Source organism: Homo sapiens, chromosome 2, assembly GCF_000001405.40.
Source record: "Homo sapiens chromosome 2, GRCh38.p14 Primary Assembly".
Taxonomy (NCBI): domain Eukaryota; kingdom Metazoa; phylum Chordata; class Mammalia; order Primates; family Hominidae; genus Homo; species Homo sapiens.
In genome coordinates, this window is record NC_000002.12 from 20,109,311 (window position 1) to 20,132,485 (window position 23,175).

The following is a 23,175-nucleotide window of genomic DNA, read 5'->3' on the forward strand; positions in this document are numbered from 1 at the left end:
CCTGTCTGTGCCTTGATTTCCCCATCTATAAAATGCATGTAGTAGTAATATCTAATTCACAAGGTTGTCATAACCATCCAAAAAAGTTAACATGTGCAAAGTGCTTAAAACAGTGCCTGGCACTTAGTAGACATTTGACAAATATAAGTTATTATTGCTAATACAAAGCAGTTTATATGTATCATCTTCATAAGCTCATAAGCTGTATCAAATCCCCTCCCTTTTTTTTTTAAGAATAATACTGTTTGTAAAAAATCTCTAATTATCATAGCATCCTAGAAGATCAGTGTGAGTTTTCCCATTTTGTAGCTGAGACTCCTGAAGCACAGAGAAGCAAAGTGACTCATCTCAGGAAAGAGTGCCAGAAACTGGCAGAATCAGGAATGGTACCTGGGTCTACCTGGTGTTTGAGTCATAAGCTTTCCATAATAATTTGCATCATAACTGCCTTTCTTAGTAAAAATGTTAAAGAGATTAACTTCCTTAAGAAAGTGAGTAGGAGAGTGTTCTGACAGCTTCTGACAACTGGAAGTCCCACTTTTTTTTTTTTTTTTTTTTTGAGACAGAGTCTCACTTTGTCACCCAGGCTGGAGTGCAGTGGCGCAATCTCGGCTCACTGCAAGCTCTGCCTCCTGGGTTCAAGCGATTCTCCTGCCTCCGCCTCCAGAGTAGCTGGGACTACAGATGTAAGCCACCATGCCCAGCTAATTTTTGTATTTTTGGTAGAGACGGGTTTTCACCATATTGGTCAGGCTGGTTCAGGAGTGACCATATTGGTCACTCCTGACCTTGTGATCCGCCCGCCTCGGCCTCCCAAAGTGCTAGGATTACAGGCATGAGCCACTGCGCCCGGCCTGGAAGTCCCACTTTCAAATCTCACTTTGAGAGATTGAATCACTTGATAGTCGGAAGTTTCAGAACCTGAGAAGGCAAGTTCGGAAGGAAGGATTGGACTTCCATTTTTCAATAAGAGATGCCTGAGAGGCAAGGGCTGTCCATTATCACTGTTCATGGGTATTCTGGTGATCTATTGCTATGTAACCAATCACCCCAAATCACAGTGGCTTAAAACAACTATAATCATTTTATTACCTCTCACAGCTCTGGGGGCTGGCAGGCCTCAGCTGAGTGCTTCTCACGCAGGGTCTTTCATGAAGTTGCAGTCTGGGGTTGGAGGCATATGGACAGTCTCCTCATTCACATGTCTGGTGGCTGGTGCTGATTCCCCTAATGGGGAATCATCAGCCAGAACAGCTGCCCGTGGCCTCTCTGTGTGGCTTGGGCTTCCTCACAGCATGGTGGCTGGATTCCAAGAGCAAGGGATACAAGATCACTGGGTAGAAGTGCATGGCATTTTTCTGACCTAGCTGTGGAAGTCACATAGTGTCTCTTTTGCAATGACTTCTACTCATCAAGGTAGTCATAAAGTTTCTTCCACTAAGGTACAAGGAGAGGCGACATATACCTCTCCTGGACTCAATGGGAAGAGTGTCAGGGAGAGCATGTGAGATGAGATATACTTTGAAAGTACAATCTGCCACATGGGCAGGCTCTCCTGGGAGAACTTGCCATTTGGAGGAAAAAGGTGACGAATAGCGAATGTAGGCTCTAACAAGGACCCCTCCCTGTAGTCATATCTGATGGTAGTTCCTTCAGGGAACTGGCCACAAGAGACACGGTTGGCAGCAAGATTTACTGCTCTGCCAAAGCTGTCATTGAAATAAATAGGATTAGGTCTGCAGTGACTTCATTATCCGGACTGCTCTAATAACATGTAATTTGCCGCCATGCTGTGACCAGCAAAGCCGCCAGGGCATATAGTGGGAATGCCTGGTCACCTGAGAAGGGGTTCCATCCCCTGGAAATCTTACAGGTCTTTGACCTTGTCCACAAGCAGACAGATCTTACTTCCTCCTCCCACCGGCTTCTTTTATGCAAACAAAAACTGGAAGCAATTTTGCTTTTGAAGCTCCTGAGTCAGCCGAAGCCCCAGGAAATGTCCTGGTTCTTCCCCCAGCCTCTCTCCCTGAGGTCCCCATCCCAAGCCTGAGAGCTCTGGAAATCCAGTTAAAACAGTTGAGAGTTTTCCTGCCAGACAGCACAAGTGTGCCGGGGCCTGGCTCCCAGGGGGCCTAGGCCCAGCCTCGAGGCAGGCTGATGCTCTGTGCTAGCCTCAATACAGTGCTGGCCCAGCCTAGCAAGCCCTGCTAAAGGGTGGCTCTGAAGATGTGGAGCACGGGCCCTGGGATGGTGGGAAGTCCTCCTGTGTAGCTGGTCCCATCCATCTCTCCCTGGCTCCCCGAGCAAGCCCTCTGCTAGCTTCTTCTGCTTCTGTCACCTCCAGCTCCTGTCCTGCTGCAGAAAGTACAGCCTCCTCAACCTGGTATCAAGACCCTCCCATGCAGGCCAACCTGATGCCATTCTGGGCCCACCTTGCCTGTGCAGTCAGGGGCAGGGCTGACCTTCCACAAAAGCCACAGAGCAGAGCCCTCCTGCACCACGTCTGTGATGCTGACACTCTCAGGCGTGCATTCTTCTCACTGGGGCTGTGGAGTGAGGCTACAAGTGAGCAGAGGGCTCAAGGCGGGGGCAGGGCTTAGGCCCTTGAGTTGGGGGCTACTGTGGCTGCCCTCGGATGTGAGTTCACTTCCTCTGGGCTGCCTCTCCTGACCCTACGGAAGCTCATCCCACTGTGGGCCCTTCTGATCTACAGAGCGTTCCTCTACCTAGTGAATCATCCCTGTGAACTCTCAGTACAGTGCAGTAATGAAATCCAGACATTTCCCCAACTCCTGGGCAGGTGACTCTACCCAAAATATCCAGAACTACAGAAATGCTAACAACTGCCACCATTTATGGAGGATTTACTGTATGGCAAGTACAATACCAAAAGCTTTATTCTCAGTTTTGTTTTGTTTTGTTTTTTTTTGAGATGGAGTTTCACTCTTGTCCCCCAGGTTGGAGTGCAATGGTGCGATCTCGGTTCACTGCAACCTCTGCCTCCTGGGTTCAAGTGATTCTCCTGTCTCAGCCTCCCAATTAGCTGGGATTACAGGTACGCACCACCATGCCTGGCTAATTTTTGTATTTTTGGTAGAGACGGGGTTTCCCCATGTTGGCCAGGCTGCTCTCGAACTCCTGACCTCAAGTGATCCACCCGCCTCAGCCTTCCAAAGTGCTAGGATTACTGGTGTGAGCCACCGCACCCGGCCGGTATTCTCAGGTTTTAATCCTTATAAGAACCCATTCTACAGATGAGAAAACTGAGGCTCAGAGAAGTTAAATAAACGTTCCATTGTGTCACAACAGTACATTTTGCAGCCACCGTATGAATTCAAATCTGTCTCTTTGCAAACTACAGACTAGCAGCTATGAAGAATTTCTGATGTATTCTGGGCATGGCAGACAGCCCCTGAGTCCATGAAGTCACCTAACCTGGGAGCCTCCCATTTCATCCTCGATCCCCTTTATGGGGCAGAGCCAGAACTGTGGGGCTGGGCCGAGGGAGAGGACAGGGAGAGCAGCGGGCAGACAGGCTTTGGCTGTCTGGGAAGAGTATCTCCCCACCACGGAGGCCCAGCTGAAGCTGAGTGTTTCCCTGACGGCCATCTAGAGTGGACAGGAGTCAGGCCTCAAACATTAAAGGGTCAAAGATGAAATGGGATTTCCAAAGATGACTCCACCGGGCTAGGGGTGCACCAAATGAGGGGTGCTGCTGCCCTGTACTGCCCAAGAGATCTGAGACATCTCTTCACCCCCAGCCCCCGCCAGAAGTACCTTTCTTTATACAGCAAAAAGTGCATAGACTTTAGGGTCAAGTCCCTGATCTATCACTTACTAGCTGTGTGACCTCAGGAAAGTCACTTAACCTCTCTGAGCCTCAGTTTCCTCCTCTGTGAGTGGGGATAATACCCATCCGTCAAGGTGGTATATTGTCACCGTGTTGTGGTTGTTGTGAGGACTGGGGATCTTGGGTATGAAGCACTAAGTGCCCAGAAGGCGCAATGACGCTGGCGCCACCGTCCTGACTCCCTCAAAGGGCAGGACCGCATAACTGTGTCGAACAGGCCCAGGTCAGAGAGTGCAGAAGCTGCTCTGTGAGGACCCTGCACGGTCAGCTGGATTTCCCAGTGAGGCATGGATGGGGCTTGCTAGTAGGGCCCCAGGCTGCTGGCAGACACTGCCAGTGGACGATGGCCACCATGGGGCCAGGGGTGCTCTGATGAGGTTCATTGAGGAAGAGACCTTTATCTGCCTGGAAGAGGAGCCTCGAAGGAGCACGAAACATGGGTCCAGGGGAAGGGAGGGAGGTAGGGCAGTCCCATTCCAGCAGCACACAGCTTGGAGGTGGGACTTAGCCCACCAGGCTCCAAGGAGAGCACCAGAGCAGCTGGCTGCGGGCACAGGGAGACAAGAGAAAGAGCTGGGAAGCCCAGGCTGAACCTTGGGCATGGCCAGTGTCTGGCAGGGTTGCGCCAGGGGCACAGACAGCCCCAGGGCTCAGGACTCTGGGAACCAGAGTGGGGACGAGAACTACCAATCAGGGAATGCCCGCAAGATGCAGACAGTTTTGGCATCTCCTCAGGTAACTCTCACAACAACTCCACTAAAACAGGTACTGTGATCCTGTTTTACAGAGTTTTCCAGAGCAGGAAATCAAGCTGGAGAGAATACCTGGCTTGGCCCCAGGCCTCATTGAACCCAGAACTGTCTACCACTTTCCATTGCACCAAGCAGAGAAGAAGAGTGAGTGGGCTGGCTGGAGCAAGGTCTTGTTTTTCTGGAACCCAACCCAAGAGACCTTTGTGTGAGAACTGGTGAGAGTGCCCTGCCCTCTCCCAGGGCCCTGATGGGGCGGGAGTGCCGGGCAGGAAAGGCAGGTTTCCTGCAGCCTCAGGCTCCGGATCAGCCAGGCCAGACTGAGTCTTTCTGGCACAGCAGGCTCGTTCTCAGAGCAGCAGCTTCACTGGCCCCCTAGGCAGGAGCGCCCACCCCCGTGACCCTTGGTTTCCCACACTCGGAGTCATTGATGGGTCAACACATAGAAGCCACCTTCTCCCAAAGATGTGGTGGAAAGAATGATGGGATTGTCGGATGCAGGTTCTGACGCCCTCCTCCAAGGGGCTTCCTCCACTCACCATCATCCTTCTCCAGAGGCGGAAGGTTGTTCTGAGGAGGGGAGGCAGTGGCACAGGTCAGGAGCCCTGCATGTCTGCTTATGAGAATAAGGGGTTCCCGAGACCCCCTCAACCATCAAAAGACAGAAGTCTGGAAGCCCATGGAGTGAGGGAGAACACAGGAGAAGTGGCCACTGTGGGGCCGCTGAGGTTCTTCCTGAAGTGTCCGTCAGAGGCTGCGCTGGTGTCTGGTCCTCAGTAGCCCCCTCCACCCCAGCTCCCCAGTGCGGACTGGCAGGGCTAAAGGCCACGTTCTCACACTGCTCCTGGAGGTTGGCCAGGCCCCGCCAGCGCCTTTCACAGCCCAGCCTAGAGTGCCTCAGGGTTTGGTCTGAGGGGAATCAGTCAGGTTCAGTTACCTGCTGTGGCTCACGCAGTCAATGCCTCTTTATTTCCTAGGAAGCCTCACACTTACAGCAATGGCCAGGGACAGACCTGCAGTCCTTTCCAACCAGGCAACCCACCGTGGGGTCCTGGTGAAAACAGAGAGGTGTCCCCACCACCCGCACTGATGAGCTTGCTCTCAAGACCTTCAGGCCATAACCCCAACTGGGAGTGGGGATGGGCCAAAGAGGTATGACCTAACCAGGGACTGGACCTAGCTATTCATTCACAAATACAAGCATGTCTGAGTGTCTACCACCTTCTGGGTGCACGGTTGGCCCAGGGTATGGTAGCAATTGAACACAGCCTAGAACCGATATGAGCAAGCGAGCTGTGGGCCCCACGGTCTGCACAGTAAGGGAGAGGGCGTCCTTGACAGCTCTGGCAGTATGTGGTTTTTGGCCATCATTTTCTGGCCTCTGCTGGAGGTTCGACTAGGGTAGGCCTGAATGTTGGGGCTACTTAGGAAAAGAGACCCCAAATAGCCCAAGCCACCTGGCTGTCATGGGGTCAGTGACAACATAGTTGTCAGTCCACTCACAGGCCACTGTGGTCAGGGAGGAAAGGTCACAGTGTCTGCATTAAACCCACATTTGTAGATGGTGACACTCTAGGGCCCCTGCTTTATGATACTTAAGCAATTGCTTGGCTGGAAGAACCCAACAGCCTAAGATGAAACCTCCAGACCGCAGCCCTGCCCCAGGGATTCCCTCACTTGGTGTGGCCAGAATAAGGAAGGACTTGCCCTCAGGTCCCCCATCCTGCCATTGCCATGGAGCCAGGGACTTTAGAGTTTCAGCACTTTAGAAGCATCTGGATGAAGCCTTCCAACCGGAAATCCAGTGCCTCAATCAGTGGGGCAAGGACCACAGGTCAAGGCCATCCTGCTAGGTGGGACCAGGTAGGGCCAATGCACAGCATAGCTTCTGTGGTCCCCATGAGAATCTCGGGTGTCCTGGAGACTGGGCCTCTGGCCTCCAGGCTGCCCTCTGCACCCACCCTGCCTGCCACTGCTCTCATCCCTCCAGAGAAGGCTTCTGGGGACCTCCGCTCTTCTGCACACAAGCAGAGGGATGAGAGTGAGGAACAGGAATGGCCACAGGTTTCTCAGGCATGGGAGAGGCAAAGGCCCCCAAAAGGAGGGCTGAGGCTGTCAGGGTGGGGCCAAGGCTGGGTGTGCCCTGCCTGAGGGACCTGCTGTGAGCCAGCACAGAACCTGATCATCAAAAGCTTGAGAGATAAGCCACAGGCAGATAAGAAGCTGCATTAAGCTGCAAACCTAACAGCCTCGTGACTCACTTCACTCAGTTTCCTCCTGCACCACATAGGCAGAGGAGCCCGGGTGACTGCTGGGGGCTCTTCAGCTGGGGGTGAGAGGTCCTCGCAGAGTGACCTTGTTAGAAAGCATGTGGCAGTAGGTGGGGAGTGTCCAGGACACTGAGGCAGCTGGGTAGCAGTGCCAGGGCTGACCCTTGCCTGCTGTGTGACCTGGGCAAGTTCCTCCAGCTAATCCATAAAACGGGTCCATGATGCCCATCCTCCTCCCAGGCTGAGGGGAAAATCAGGTAGGCCAAAGGAAGTAGATCTAGTGGGTGAACAGCAGGCTGCTGTGTACGTGTGTGTGTGCATGCATATACACACACGCATACACACACAATACATATGCATACCCATGCATGCACACACACATACATGTATACATACATACACACACACATGCATACACATACATGCATGGACACACACAAATATACATGCATGTATACATATATACACGCATACATACACATACATGCACACACACACATACGCACATATATACATACGCACATGCATGCACACATACACATAGACAGACGTGCATGCACACACATATACATGCATACGCGCATACATATACACACGTGCATGCATGCACATATACATACATACATAGACACATGCATGCACACATATACATGCATACACATACACACATACATACACATACACATGTGCATGCACGCACATATACATACATACATAGACACACGCATGCACACACAGACACAGACACACACCGGAGGAACTCTCACCCTATTGTTGGTATATTATTTGGGCCCAGAAGTCAATTGTTGTATAACATGCACAGTCACTATCAAGATAATGTTTCCATAGCCACTGTTATTTACTGAATCGTGTCCCCCAAAAATTGTATGTTGTAGCCCTAACCTCCTCGTACCTCAGAATGTGACTGCATTTGGAGATGGGGTCTTTAGAGAGGTGGTGAAGTTCAAATGAGCCTGTTAGGCTGAGGCCCTAATCCAATGGAACTGGTGGTCTTATAAGAAAGGGAAAGGCCATAGGAGGGCACAGCGAGGAGGCGGCTGTGGCCATCTGGAGGCAAAGGAGAGAGGCCTCAGAAGGGACCAAACCCGAAACACCTTGATCTCGGACTTCTAGCCTTCAAACTGTGAGAAAATAAACTCCTTCGTTCAAGCTGCCCAGCCTGCGGTACTTCATTATGGCGAGGGCTAACACAGTCACTCAGAGGAGTCCAGTTCAGCCCCCGGGTCTCCCCACTTGTCTTGGCTTCTCCTCAAGGCATCCCCACAGGCAAGCCTTCCTTGGACCCTTGCTCTGCTGGGCAGGGTCGTGCTCCTCTCCCAGCCTTGACTTTTGAAATGGGGTCACCCTCATTGTCTCCAGCCCTCTCATTTCCCTGGCACTGCAGCCTCACTCTGCTCTGCAGCCCGCAGTGGCTGCCTTCTCCTGCCCAGCAGGGCTGGGGCCAGCGTGGGCTCCCCTCATCGGTGTCACTTGTGGGCCCTCTGTCACTTGACCTCGGTCTTCCTCCTGGCTCATGACCAGATGGAGAACAACTTCAGCAGGGCTTGGCAAGTGCTCCCGAGGCTGGCTTCTCAGATTTCTTTTAGAAATCTGACTGGGGTTTCCATTCCTCGTCCAGCTGACCAGGCACTGAGGAGGAGCCCGGAGGTGGAGGTCAGGAGCAGCTGGAAGAGCAGGAGGAGCCCGGAGGTGGAGGTCAGGAGCAGCTGGAAGAGCAGGAGGAGCCCAGAGGTGGAGGTCAGGAGCAGCTGGAAGAGCAGGAGGATCCCGGAGGTGGAGGTCAGGAGCAGCTGGAAGAGCAGGAGGAGCCCAGAGGTGGAGGTCAGGAGCAGCTGGAGGAGCAGGAGGAGCCCGGAGGTGGAGGTCAGGAGCAGCTGGAGGAGCAGGGGGAGCCCGGAGGTGGAGGTCAGGAGCAGCTGGAGGAGCAGGAGGAGCCCGGAGGTGGAGGTCAGGAGCAGCTGGAAGATCAGGAGGAGGGTGGGGTGGCTCATCTCTCCTCAGGCCTGGCCTGGGCCACATCCCTTCGGCCCAATCCCAGAACTGGGAGCCCTGCTGGAAACAGCTGTCCCTGCTCAGCATGGCCGCTGACTGGCTGACCTCCTGGCCCAGCAGTCCCCAAGGTGGCCTTTCCACTGGGGAACAAGGAGCTCAGCCCAAGGTCCAGAGCCTCATCACTGTGGTGGGAACGAGCACTGGGCCACGGGGATGCTCATGCCTCTGAGGGGTCCCTGCCGGGCTGGAGAGGAAGTGGGTGTTTTCGCCTGTGGGTGGGTGCTTGTTCAAAGTGTGCATTCATCTGTTTATTCGATAGGAAAGTATGAAGCAACTTTCTGTGCCAGGCACCGTGCTGGCTTTGCCCCGGGATGGGTGAGGAAGCTGTGGAAAGAGCCAGTTGTTCGTGCAGGCATGGATGACTAACGTGAGAGATGAAGAAGCCCTTTCTCTGGAGGCAAGTGGGTGCCAGATGATGTGGGAGAGAGACACACATACACCCCAATAAAACTCCATCTGAGCAGCTCTTTGTGCCTGTGCTGGGTCCCAGGACAGCCTGTTTGGCTTCCAAGTATGTTTGGGACGAGGCCCAGCCCCATGCTGTGTTATCTTTGTGTTCCTGGGTCCACCATGTGGTTCCTCTACCTCATGCTGGGGTGGGAGGGATGTGAAGAGAGCTGAGCACGCAAGAACTGAGAATCCCATGCAATTAGTCCACATGCAGGTATCCCACCTCAGGTAGCTCCTCTGCCACTGAAAGGGTTTCTTGAGCACCGAACACACCAGGAGCCAGCAGGGGTGGCACAGACATCTCTGTGGGTGAGTCCAAGATCAGCAAAGACCAGCAGATGTGTTGATGCTCCCAGCCCAGAAACAGGGACACCCTGGCCCAAGGCCTGAGTCCCATATTTCCACAGGACAGACTCATCCTCTTGATCAGGCCCAAGTTCTGGGTTACTCAGGAACCACTTGTCTTAACTGTCCACCTCCTCTGTGTCCACACCCATGTGTGGACAGATACACACCACGCCGGCTTTCTCACTTCACGGCACTCTCCCTAATATCCTTGGGATCTTCTCTCTGCCTTCTTCTCTCTCCTTTAATGTCTTTGTGCTGTGGATCCCACCCTTTGCCTTGGAAAGGTCATTCCCTTGAAATTACCTCATTATCTTCCTATATCATTTCCCTGTCTCTATAGGGCCATTCCCATCAGCATAAACCCATGCTCTAGGAGAGCCCATCTCCTGAAAACAAAAATCAAAACAAAAACACAATGGAGGCCGGGTGCAGTGGCTCATGCCTGTAATGCCAACACTTTGGGAAGCCGAAGTGGGTGGATCACTTGAGGTCAGGAGTTCAAGACCAGCCTGGCTAACGTGGTGAAACCCCATCTCTACTAAAAATACAAAATTAGCCGAGGGTGGTGGCACACGCCTGTAATCCCAGCTACTCGGGAGGCTGAGGCAGGAGAATTGCTTGAACCTGGGAGGTAGAGGTTGCAATGAGCCAAGATCGTGCCATTGCACTCCAGCCTGGGCGACGAGAGCGAAACTCCGTCTCAAAACACACACACACATGCGTGCACACACACACACACACACACACACAACGGAAATCTTCCCTCTGAGGCCCCTTTTCCTCAGCAGCTGCTGTTTCATTCTCTGCTCTCCTCCACAGTGTGATAGTTTCCCACGCACTCCACACTCGCCACGCTCGCAAACTCACTCCCACTCTCCATGCTCACCCCATTGGCTCCCCTTGCCTCCAATCCACTAAAACTGCCCAAGTCCCCAGTGCTTTGAGAGGTTGAGGCAGGAGGATTGCTTGAGCTCAGGAGTTCAAGACCAGCCTGGGCAACGTAGCAAGACCCCATCTCTGCAAAAAGTTTTAAGAAAATTAGCCAGGCATGGTGGCACACACCTGCAGTCCCAGGTACTTGGGAGGCTGAGGTGGGAGGAGCACTTAAGCCCAGGAGTTTGAGGCTGCAGTGAGCTATGGGTACTCCAGCCTGGGTGACAGCACAAGATCCTGTCAGAGAGGGAGGGAGGGAAGGAAGGAAGGAAGGAAGGAAGGAAGGAAGGAAGGAAGGAAGGAAGGAAGGAAGGAAAGAAGGAAGGAGAAAAGGAAAAGGAAAAGAAAGCCAGCCGGGCATGGTGGCTCACGCCTGTTACCCCAGCACTTTGGGAGGCCGGGCATGGTGGCTCACGCCTGTTACCCCAGCACTTTGGGAGGCCAGGCATGGTGGCTCACGCCTGTAATCCCAGCACTTTGGGAGGCCAAGGCAGGCAGATCACGAGGTCAGGAGTTAGAGACCAGCCTGGCCAATATGGTGAAACCTCATCTTTACTAAAAATACAAAAATTAGCTGGTCGTGGTGGCATGAGCCTGTAGTCCCAGCTACTTTGGAGACTGAGGCAGAAGAATCGCTTGAACCCGGACGGTAGAGGTTACAGTGAGCCGAGATAGCGCCACTCTACTCCAGCCTGGGCGACACAGTGAGACTCTGTCTCAAAAAAAAAAAAAAAAGAAAGAAAGAAAGGAAAAGAAAAAAAAGAAAGGGAAGGGAAGGGAAAGGAAAGGGATGGGGAAAGGAAAGGGGAAGAGGAAGAGGAAGGGGAAGGAAAGGAAAACACTGCTCTGGTCAAGGCCTCCAATAACGTTGATGTTGTTGAAGCCAGTGGTCACTTCTCTGTCAATGCACCAGATCCATCAGCAGCATTTGAATGGTTGGCTGTGTCTCTTCATTGAAATAATCTCTTGGTTTCAGAGAAAACAACCTCCTTACTTTTCTTGTCTCTCTTTGCCCATCTCAAGCTCCTCTGTTGGTTTCCATCAACCTCTATATGTTCTTGTGTGTATCTGGCTTGGTCACGGGCCTTCTATTATTTTCTAGACAGTCTTGAACTAGATGAGCTCATGGAGCCTTTGAAAAGCATTCACCTGCTCAGGCCTCCTGCACTTGCATCTTCAGCTCTGACCTTTCCACTGAGCTACAGGCTCACACCTACTTGTCGTCTCCATCTGGATATCTACCAGGTATTTCAAAATTAACATAGATAAGATACAACTTTCGATTTCTGTCCCCACCTCAACCTTTCCCATCTTGGTAACTGGCACCAGCACACACTCCATTTCTCAAAACTAGTAGGCCTCCTGGAGCTCCTCCTTCTCTTCCTAGCCACCTGAGATTCATCACCAAGTCCCACAGACCTAACTCAGTTATGTCCCAAGCCCCTTCTTTCTTCTCCATCTTTGTCACTGCCACATTAGTCTGAGCCATCACCTGTCATATCCACGTGGCTGTTGGAGCCTCCCAATTGTCCCCTGCTTGTTCCCCAAAGTCCATTCTACCCACAACAGCCAGGATGATCTTTTAAAAAAACTTTTTTTTTTTGAGACAGAGTCTTGCTGTGTTGCCCAGGCTGGAGTACAGTGGCATGATCTCGGCTTACTGCAACCTCTGACTCCTGGGTTCAAGTGATTCTCCTGCCTCAGCCTCCCGAGTAGCTGGGATTACAGGCACCTGCCACCATGCCTGGCTAATTTTTGTATTTTTAATAGAAATGGGGTTTTGCCATGTTGGCCAGGCTGGTCGTGAACTCCTGGCCTCAGGTGATCCGCCCACTTCAGCCTCCCAAAGTGCTGGGATTACAGGCGTGAGCCACTATGCCCGGCTGATCTTTTAAAATTTTAAACAAGATAGATCACTTCCCTACTGTTATTTGAATAAAGCCTAAAGTCCTTGCCATAGCCTGCAATTCAGTGCAAGGCACCTGCCCCTCTGACTTCAACTCCTCCCACTCTTCCCCTTCATCGACCTTCATCCCCTTGCTCAAACTTGGGAAGTAGGAGATAGTTCCACCTTAGCGGGAGCTCTCCAGCTTGTCCTTCTACCTAGACTATTCTTGCCCGGATTTCTGCACATCTCAGATCAAACACCAGCTCTTAAAGAAGAGGCTTTCTCTCACCCTCCAGGCTCTCCTAGCTGCGTCACCCTGATTTGTTTGATTATCAGTGAAATGTGTGTTCTGAGTATTTGTTTACTCGCTTGTTGTTTCTCTTCCTACTAAGCTGGAAGCTCTGTGACAGCAGAGACCTTCTCTATCATGTTCCCTGCAGTATTTCCTGCTTTGAGAGCAGTTCCTGGCACATTAGCTGGGGCTCAATAGAGTGCTGTTGAAAAAATGAGCAAACCGAGACCAGGTAGTGGGGACAGCCCCAGGGGCTCCCCATCTAGAGAAGCGATGGAGACAAACTGGCATCTATAACATGCAGCTCCATGGATACTTTGCTACACGGCAGACGGGGGTTGCAGGAGCCTTGAAGATGTGACTCTACCCCGCATGCATGGGAGCCGGTGCAGGGGAAAGTTCCTGGAGAAGTTGTGTCCAAGTTGAGACCTAAAGGATGAGGAGGTAGGTGCAGGGCAGAGAGAGGGTCATGTCCCAGGCAGGGACACTTGAATGTTCAAAGAGCCAGTGAAGGCACAGTGAGGATTCAGAAAACAGTGCTTACAAATCATCTAGCCTGCCCGACAGAGAAGGGCCATCTTTCTTCCTCCTGTAGCCACTTGGAAGAGCAGAGGGGACTCTGCCCAGGCCATCCCGCCTGGACCGGGGAGGCAGAATTAAAAAGACCCAGATTTCTGTGGTTGAAGAGACAAAGCTGAACTATGGAAGTAAAGGAAGTCCCAGCCCAAGACCAAACTGCGAGACCATGGCACCCAGTGCGGAGGGCACGGCCGAGTCCCTCCACCACATACAAGCCTGGGCTCTAGGGCTCCTGCCAGCCCTGCAGAGACTTGTCCCTGAACTGGTCCTGATTCCTGAAGAGCCTGTCTTTCTGCTCACTCATCCCTCATTCAGTCACCACACACACAGCCATGCACATCACCTCTGCTCTGGTCACATGCACATGCCCACACCTACCCTCAGGATCTCAGGTGGGTGCCTGGATCGTCACACACTCACACACTCCACCCCAGGTGGTGAGCCCAGTGTGCAGATCCTCACAGCTAGCCTGATGCACTCCTGCTCCTGGAAGCTCCTGAGCTACTTGGGAGGACCACATAGTTTCCAGAAACCATCCCCACCTCCAATTTATAATAGTATGGACAAGCTTGTACAAGGCAATGTAATCTGAACTATATATACTACATGATGGGGTGATTTGAGCAGGCTTCTTGGAAAAGGAGAATTTGAGCCATGTCTTTTTTTTTCTTGCTGTCACCCAGGCTGGAGGACAGTGGTACGATCATAGTTCACCGCAGCCTCAATCTTCTGGGCTCAAGCAATCCTCCCACCTCAGCCTCCAAGTACCTGGGACTACAGGCACACGCCACCATGTACAGCCAATTGTTTTTAATTTTAGTACAGAAAAGGTCTTGCTATGTTGCCCACTCCTGAACTCCAGTGATCCTCCCACCTCGATCTCCCAAAGTGCTGAGATTATAGGCATGAACCATTGCTGCACCCAGCCTAAGCTGAGTTTTGAAGAGTTGTAGAATAGTGAAAATGAAGAGAAAAGAGATTTTTTATTATTCTTATTTTATTTTATTTTTTAGAGATAGGGTCTCACTTTGTTACTCAGGCTGGAATGCAGTTGCACAATCATGGCTCACTGCAACCTCGAACTCCTGGCTCAAGGCTCAAGCAATTCTCCTACCTCAGCCTCCCGAGTAGCTGGGACTAAAGACATGCACCACCACACCTGGCTAACTTTTTAGGTTTTTGTGGAGATAGGGTCTCACTATGCTGTTCTTGAACTTCTGGGCTCAAGCGATCCTCCTGCCTGGGCCTTCCAAAGTGCTGGGATTACAGGCATGAGCCACCATGACTAGCCCAGATTTTTTAAGACAATTAGTTAGGCTCCTCAGGCTACAAAAAAGATAACACATTGGTTCATGGAACTGAAATGTCAGGGTTGGTCTGATTCAGGCAATGCTGGATCCAGAGGCTAGAATAATGTCAACAGGTTTCTACCTCTCATATATATATATATAAGAGCCTGCTCAAATCACCACATCATGTAGTATATATAGTTCAGGTACACACACACACACACATATTTCCCAAGTGGGTTCTTACTAGATGGGAGGCCAGATTGACCTTAGCAATTCAAGTGACAGAAAGTGTGTTTCCTGAGAGCTCCAGCAGAAAAGTCTTGAGGACTCTGATTGGCCTAGTCTGAGGTCACATGCCCACTTCTGAACCAATCCATATAGTCGGAGATATGGAGTCTTTGACTGGTTAGGCCTAAGGCCGTGTACCAACTTCTCAGTAGGCTAGCCCCATCCAAACCACATGGAATGGGTTTCTTAAGGGAAAGGGCTCTGTTGTCAGAAGTGGGTAATGAGTACTAATCAACGGAGGTCAAATGTCCCTGCTTTAAATAATAGTCCTTCCCCTGGTTATAGCACTCCACACTTTTTCATGCTTCCACATAATTTATCCAGTTTACTTATCAAGAAATAATATTGAGTCAGGCATGGTTACTGCCTGCATTTCACTCTAGGGAAAGGGCACTTCCAGATATTAAACTTGATTTTTCTGCTCTACTATAACAGGGGCTGTCTTTGAGCCATCTATTCAGGAAGGACAAATGGCCTTGGAGCTCCTGGATGAAGTCTCCTCTGGAGAGTGTCAGGGCGGGAGGTGGGGGATTAGCTCTGGATGTACTGATGTTGAGGTGCTTTAGGGAGGAGCAAGTGGAACAGCCCAGGAGGCAATTCTGTATAGTAGACTGGAGTTTCCCTTGCAACAGCCAGGCCACCACTGCCACGCTGAGGGCTTCTTTAACTCTGTGTGCTAAAGTGGCCAGTCAAGGGGCATCCATTCAGAGAACAGTGGGGCCAAAGCCCTGAGCACAGGCACGGTGTACAGAGAGGTGGGGGTGAAAAAGTGTGATATATAAGCAGATCCGCCTGGGCTTGACTCCTGCTGTGCTAGGAAGACCTGAGCCAAGACCAGCCCCAGGACCTCCTTAGCCGAGTGGAGAGGACCATGAGACCTGGATCTATCACTGACCAATCACTTCTCTCCTTGCTGCCTCAGCTGCGCCTCTAACACTCTGCCATGCTTGACAGCTGGCCTCCAGCGATGAGCCCCAGTGAAGCACACTCCTGGCATTCATGCCCTGATGTAGTCCCCTCCCACACTGAACCTAGGCTGGCCTCTGACACACACTATCCAACAGAATGCGGTGGAAGTGATACCATGCCAGCTTCAGGTTTAGCCTTTAAGAGGAATGGCAGGCTGGGTGTGGTGGCTCATGGCTGTAATCCCAGCACTTTGGGAGGCTGTGGTAGAAGGAGTGCTCGAGGCCAGGAATTTGAGATCAGCCTGGGCAACATAGTGCGACCCCCATCTCTACAAAAAATTTAAAAATTAGCCAGGTGTAGTGGTACATACCTGTGGTCCTAGCTACTCTGAAGGCTGAGGTGGGAGGATCACTTGAGCCCACGAGTTCAAGGTGGCAACGAGCCATAATCATGCCACTACACTCCAGCCTGGATGACAGAGTGAGACCCTGTCTCTAAAAACCAAAAACAAACAAAAAAGTGAAATGGGAGTTTCTATTAATACTTCTTCTTTCTTTCACTTGGAGAGCCCTGAGTCACCATGAAAGATTTCTGGCCACCCTGCTGAAGAGGCCACATGGGGAGGCCACATGGAGAGGAGGAGAGGTCCACTGATCCAGCATTTTAGTTGAGCTTCCAGCTGACTCCAGCCTCAAGCTTTATCTGAATGCACCTGCATGAGAGACTTCTAAGCAAGACCAGCAGAAGATCCACCCGCTGATCCCAGACAACCCATGGAACCATGAGAGAGCCAATAAAATTGTGGTGGTTTTAAAGCCACTGAGCTTTGGAGTGGTTTGTGATACAATGATAAATAACAAAAGCAATCTCACTGATGGTGAGTCTGGCTGGCATTCCTGAGCCTTGTGCCACCTTCCAGCCCCCAAGAATTGACACTGTTAGGTCAGGTCTTGGTTAATGACCAAGTTAATAATCAAGTTAATAACCATTCCAAGCAGTCAGGCCAGTTTTTAGGACAAATACAGGAAGGGTGTATACTTCCTGTCTGATCCTAGTCCTGAGATTCCAGAAGACACAAAAACCCAGTTCCCGCAGGGCTGGAGACGAAGGCAGAGGGGCTGACTGGCTACCCAGCTCCATCTCTGAGTGCTGACTCCAAGCAGCAGCTCGTTAGGCTCAGGTGTCTTTCAGGTGTCCTTGCATGGCCCTGAGATTGAAGCCTGTGTTATAATAGCGGGTCAACTGAGCATAGCTTTGCCTTGTGGTCAAGTTCAGGTTCCCCTGTGTTTCCCACCATACCAGGTGTGGTCCTGCTGCTGCCCTGACTCCCATCTGCTGGCAGGCTTCAACCCACCCTTCCAATTGTAATCACTTCTTCTCTGCTCTGGGGAGCGTTCCCTTCTGTTTCGCCCAGATCCCCAGGGTCACAGGGCCATTGTCATATGCAGCCTGTAGTCACTGAAATGTTTCCTGTGTGACTCTTGTCCCACTACTGGGCCATGAGCTTCTAGAGAGCAGAGGCTAAAGCCTCATTTTTCCCTCTAATACATTCATTAGTAAATGTATTCCGTCCTTCATTCACTCAACAACCTACTCCATGCCAGGGTCTATGTTAGGGGCAGAGGACATAAAGCTCAAAAATAATGCCCCTGAAGTACAGTCATATTTGGTCCAGTTGGACAGATGTGGAACTTGGCAGTGATGACACAGTGATATAATTGCTGGGATGGAGGTGTGTATGCAATGTGATGAGGGCACAGAGAGTGCCAAGGCAGCCCTGGGAGGGGGCGACAGGCAACATTCCTTAGTGATCATTCTAGGCCAGACTCTGGTCTAAGCACTTCATTTATTCATTATTCATTTATTCATGTTTTCATTATTTTGAGGTACTTTTTAAGAAAATTATTATTTTCTAATAGGTAAATATAGACAAATTATACAAAATTCTGATGGTGTTAATGGGCACCCTATGAGCATTCCCAGAGGAGCATGCCCTTTTCCAAAATTTCTGCCTTCCAGACATATGATATTTTACGCATAATACAAGTTTGCATAATACAAGTTTGTCTTATGCACACACACATACATGCACACACACATTTTACATAAATGGTTATATAATATTCTGTATTTTTTCATTTATTTATTTATTTAATTTTTTATTTTATTTTATTTTTTTGAGACGGAGTCTCGCTCTGTTGCCCAGGCTGGAGTGCAGTGGCATGATCTCAGCTCACTGCAAACTCCACCTCCCGGGTTCACGCCATTCTCCTGCCTCAGCCTCCCAAGTAGCTGGGACTACAGGCGCCCGCCACCACGCCCAGCTAATTTTTTGCATTTTTAGTAGAGACGGGGTTTCACCATGTTAGCCAGGATGGTCTCTATCTCCTGACCTCATGATCCACCCGCCTCAGCCTCCCAAAGTGCTTGGATTACAGGCGTGAGCCACCACACCTGGCCTATTTTTTCATTTAATATATCATGGAGCTCATTCCATGTCACTATAGAGATATTTCATTCTTAGGTCGGGCATGGTGGCTCATGCCTGCAATCCTAGCACTTTGGGAGGCCAAGGCGGGTGAATTGTCTGAGATTAGGGGTTTGAGGCCAGCATGGGTAACACCATGAAACCCTGTCTCTATTAAAATACAAAAAAAAAAAAAATTAGCCGAGCATGGTGGTGCATGCCTATAGTCCCAGCTACTCGGGAGGCTGAGGCACAAGAATTGCTTGAACCTGGGAGGCAGAGGTTGCAGTGAGCTAAGATGCTAAGATCATGCCACTGCACTGCAGCCTGTATGACAGAGAAAGACTCTGTTTCCAAAAAAAAAAAAAAAAACAGACAGAGATTTCATTCTTGGTTAATGATACTATGACTTTATAGTATCACAGTGTTCCATTATAGGAATGTCCTGTACTTTGTTTAACCAATTGCCTATTAATGAATATTTATGCTTTTTCTAACTATCCACTACTAATACAAATAATTCTACAATAAATAATCTTGTGCATAAATTATTTTGAACAAGTGACATATATTTATAGGATAAATGCATATAAGCAGAATTATTAGAATAGAAGTGGGTCTAGAAAAGGTGCATTTAATTTTTTTTATTTTTAAACATTTTTAATTATTTTTTATCTTTGAAGAGATGGGGTTTCACTATGTTGCCCAGGCTGGTTTCAAACTCCTGGCCTCAAATGATCCACACCCCCTCAGCTTCCCAAGGTGCTGCGATTATATGCATGAGCTACTGCGCCTGGCCAAAGGTATATTTTAATTTTTAACTGCCCTCCATCTAACATTTAGTTCTCAAAAACACATGTCTCAGCTTTAGAAAGCTTTCTCTCATCTACCAGCAGTGACCTCTGCCATGGTGTAAAGACCCAGGCCAGCAGAAAAGGAGGAAGACAATACTTCATTTTAAAATGCTTTTATTTTCCTCATCTTTTAAATATAAATATAAATTTAATAAATTAAAATATTTACTATTTATATAAATTTAAATTTATTTAATATGTATGTCATATTGTATATAAAATATATATTACAGATTTACATAGTTTATTCATATTTAAGTTTTAGATAAATTTAAATTTGAATATAAAATTGGACAGGGGAGCATGTGGCCTGGGGCTTTGGACAGAGTGTATCTGAGAATGGAGCTCGCACCAGGGAAATGGGGCTGAAAAATGGAGGGTAGGAAACCTGGCCCAGGTTTCTTCGTTTGAGTCCTGGATAAACCCTTGCCTGAAGTCCATCCTGGGGTTGTTCAGGTTCATAAGCCAATACATACTGTTTTTGCTTAAGCCAGTGTGGGTTGGGTTTTTTGTCTCTTGCCCAGGGAGGAGCCCTGACTGCCCCACACAGCTGGTGGGCAGCAGGGCTGCACTCATTGCAGGGCTGACTAGCTCCAGGGTCCATGCACTGAACCTCAGCCAGTCCCAGCCAGTCCCCGCGGAAAAGGAATTTATTGATGTGAGACCTGAACAATCAGGAGGAGATAACCAGGCAGACCAGAAGGGAGAGAAGATGCCCAGACAGAGAAAGAGACAGGTGAAACGGGTGGCATTCAGAGAGCTACAGGTGGTTCAGAGTGGCTGGAGATTGAGTGAAGGGTGCAGGGTGTGCACACACCAGGTGCTGTGGTTTGCAATCTTGATCTTTCTGATGAAGTGACCAGAGTTTCGCCTCTGCTGTGATCACAGGTGTGATTGAAGAGTCGGTTGGCAGTGTGCCCTGTGCCTCCCCACTCAGGGTTCAGTCCTCTGACTCCCGCCTCCTGTCTCCCTCACCTGTTGGCCCCAAAAGGGAGTCACTGTTGGAGGCCTGACATCAGACATGCCCCCTGGGCCGCACCTCGGGCTCCTGGGACTGCCAAGGGTGAGCAGCCTCTCCCTGGCCCCGCGAGGGAGAAGGCCAATGAGGAGAAAGGCCACGGGCATGCTAGAACCCCTCATGTGTGTGTGTGTGTGTGTGTGTGTGTGTGTGTCGTTGGTGTGAGTGTGCATGAATAGCTGTGCACACATAGGAAGTCAATTGTCCTTTCCCAGTTGAGCCGTTGGGAACATTCCCCAGAATTTACTCTTCCTCCAAAATCATTACCTTATCTCAGGTGGCCCTTTGGAGCCTTTGGCACCATAGCTGGGTGAGGCAGGAAGAAAAAAAACAAGGGCAGGGGAGAAGAGGAATTTGCCCTCTGCTGTGTTTCAGCTCTCAGGCAGGCTATGCCTTCCCGCATTGCCACTAGCTGGGTCCAGGCCATGTCACCTTCTGCTGCACCTACAGCAGCTCCCCAATGTCAGTGTGCCCCAGCCACTTCCCACCAGACCATCTTCCACAGCACGGATCCCCCCAAAATACTGCTCCCCTCTTCCTCCTGTCTCACTTGGACTGCCTTGGCTAGGGCAAATTCTTTGCTGTGACTTGGAAGGCCCTGTGTATCCCCTGCCTATCTGTCCAGCCTCATCTGTCCCCACTCCACCTCTCCCACCCCAGGCCCCAGGCACATTGGCCACAGCCCTTCCCTGAAAGCACCAGGGCCTGAGTATTAATTCCTGTTGTTGCTGCAGCAAACTACCACAGACTTACAGGTTCGAAACAACGCAGATGTATTATATTACAGTTCTGGAGGTCAGGAGTCCAGACATGGGTCTTAAAGGATGAAAGTCAAGGTGCCAGCAGGGCTGCATTCCTTCTGGAGGTTCCAAGAAAGAATCCATTGCCTTGCCTTTCCCAGCTTCAAAAAGCCTCCCGATTCCTTGGTTCATGCCCCCTCCCTGCATCTGCAAAGCCACTGAGTAGCATCTTCCAATCTCTTTCTGACCTCTTCTCCCATCGTCACATCTCTCTCTGACACTGACCTCTCTCTCCGCCTCCCTCTTAGAAGGGCCCTGGTGATTACCCAGGACCTGCGCAGATAATCCAGGATATGCGCTCCATCTCGAGGTCCTTCATCACATCCACAGGCCGATTCTCGGGGTCTAGAGATTAGGGCTTGTACTTCTTCGAGGGTCATTCTCCTGCCTGCCACAGAGCACACCAAGCTTTCGCACATGCAGGCCTCTCTGTCACTGTCTACATTTACCCAGAGGGGACACCTTTGTCTAATTTGCAGAGGTACCATACATAGGTCAGTGGACTGCCTGCCTGAAACACCCCTTTCCTCACTTTCTCCACCTGGCCAAGAGCTTCTCATTCTTCAAGGCCCAGTTTAGTCCAGGACACTTTACCTTTCCCTGCTCTCCCCGAAGTCTCCCAGCTGGGTGAGTCACACCTCCTCTGGGCTCCTGCTCTATCCCGTACTTTCTGTATCCTGGCATAAACCACAGGACATTGATATTGTCTGTGAGTCTGCCTGGGTCAGATCGGAGCCAGGGCCCAGAAGCCCTCACCTGGGGCCCAGCTCTTCCCCAGCTAGGCAGCAGCCCCAGGCCCTGTCGTCTCTCTTCCCAGCACAGACACCTCCTCTGGAGTCTCCCAGTTCATGTCTCTTTGTCTCTCCTGTGTGCAGGCCTCACACGGAGCTGCGGGGCCTCTGTGAGGAAGACAGAAATGAAGGCGATGAGGGTGTTGAGTTTGAGGCATCCAAGCCACACGGAGGGAAGCTGGCATTTGAGAAGAGAGGGCTGGCGTGAAATTCCTACTCTCAGGAAGTGGCTGGGGGACTTTCAGAAGAGGAATATTTGAGGTTTTCAAGTTAAAGTGGCAGCCTAAACACACATCTAATTGCATTTTTCCCCAAATCTCACTAGAACAATAATAGAGAACTTTAAAAGGAAGACATAAAACCACAAAAATGAGGGAAACAGAAGAGGAGAAAACAGGAGCAAAACATGGGAAGCTGGCAGATGAGCATTCTCCGACGCAGATGGAGAAAGCCAGTTCCTAGGCCAGCAGTGGGGAGAGTTTAGAATCAAAACCATTTACAAGCAGGATGCTTAGAAGTCTCAGGAACTGACTCTAGAGGGAACCTCTCTAAGCTGGGTAAAGAAGGAAGTTGAAATAAGGATGGGTTGAAAGTTGTTTAAGAAGCAGTCAGATGCCTGGAAACCCTCCTGTCCCCTCCCCTTCCCCACTGGAAAATTACTGTGAGTGGTTACTGCCCAGAAGGCAGGAAGATTCTGGGTCATATGCCTATGGAGACCCCACCCCGGACTCTGACTCTAAACACCCAAAACACAAGGCAGCCTTCCTCTCAAAGCAGGAGTTAGAACAATCTTCTCTAAATAGTCTGGGCAACTCAAAAGGAAGACTAAATCCTGATATGGGGGGATCTCTGACAAACGACACATCCAGACCACTCCCCCATGAAGTCAAAGGTTGGCAAGCCCCACCCTAGAAGACAGGAAAAGTGAATATGCTGAGAATAAAAGTAAAACACTCTTGGAAATGAAAAACATGGCAGCCACAGTAGAAGGTGTATTATGTCATCCTCACATTGCTATAAAGAAATACCTGAGACTGGGGAATTTATAAGAAAAGAGGTTTAATTGGCTCATGGTTCTGCAGGCTGTACAGGAAGCAGAGCTCCAGGATCTGCTTCCGGGGAGGCCTCAGGAAGCTTCCAATCATGGAGAAAGGTGAAGTGGGAGCAGCCATGTCATATGGCCAGAGCAGGAGCAAGAGCGAGAAGGGGGAGGTGCCACACACTTTTAAACAACAAGGTCTCAGGAGAACTCACTCACTGTCATGAGGACAGCACCAAGAGGATGGTGCTAAACCATTCAGGAGAAATCCACCCCCATAATCTA

At 50.4% G+C, this 23,175-nt stretch overlaps 2 long non-coding RNA genes across 2 annotated transcripts in view; both read left to right on the plus strand.

Annotated features, from left to right (window-relative positions):
* The window catches only part of LAPTM4A-DT (LAPTM4A divergent transcript), a 65,743-nt gene extending 57,174 nt beyond the window's left edge, over positions 1–8,569 (plus strand). Inside the window, exons 3-5 of the long non-coding RNA NR_187142.1 lie at positions 4,638–4,817; positions 5,577–5,751; positions 8,509–8,569. This is a non-coding gene — a long non-coding RNA (LAPTM4A divergent transcript). The remainder of the gene's footprint in view (positions 1–4,637; positions 4,818–5,576; positions 5,752–8,508) is intronic.
* Positions 8,570–11,539: 2,970 nt separating this feature from the next.
* LOC107985807 (uncharacterized) lies at positions 11,540–16,740 on the plus strand. The gene is made up of 3 exons (XR_001739185.2): positions 11,540–11,918; positions 12,954–13,297; positions 16,488–16,740. It is a non-coding gene; the product is annotated as an uncharacterized LOC107985807 (long non-coding RNA).
* The last annotated feature ends 6,435 nt before the right edge of the window (positions 16,741–23,175 follow it).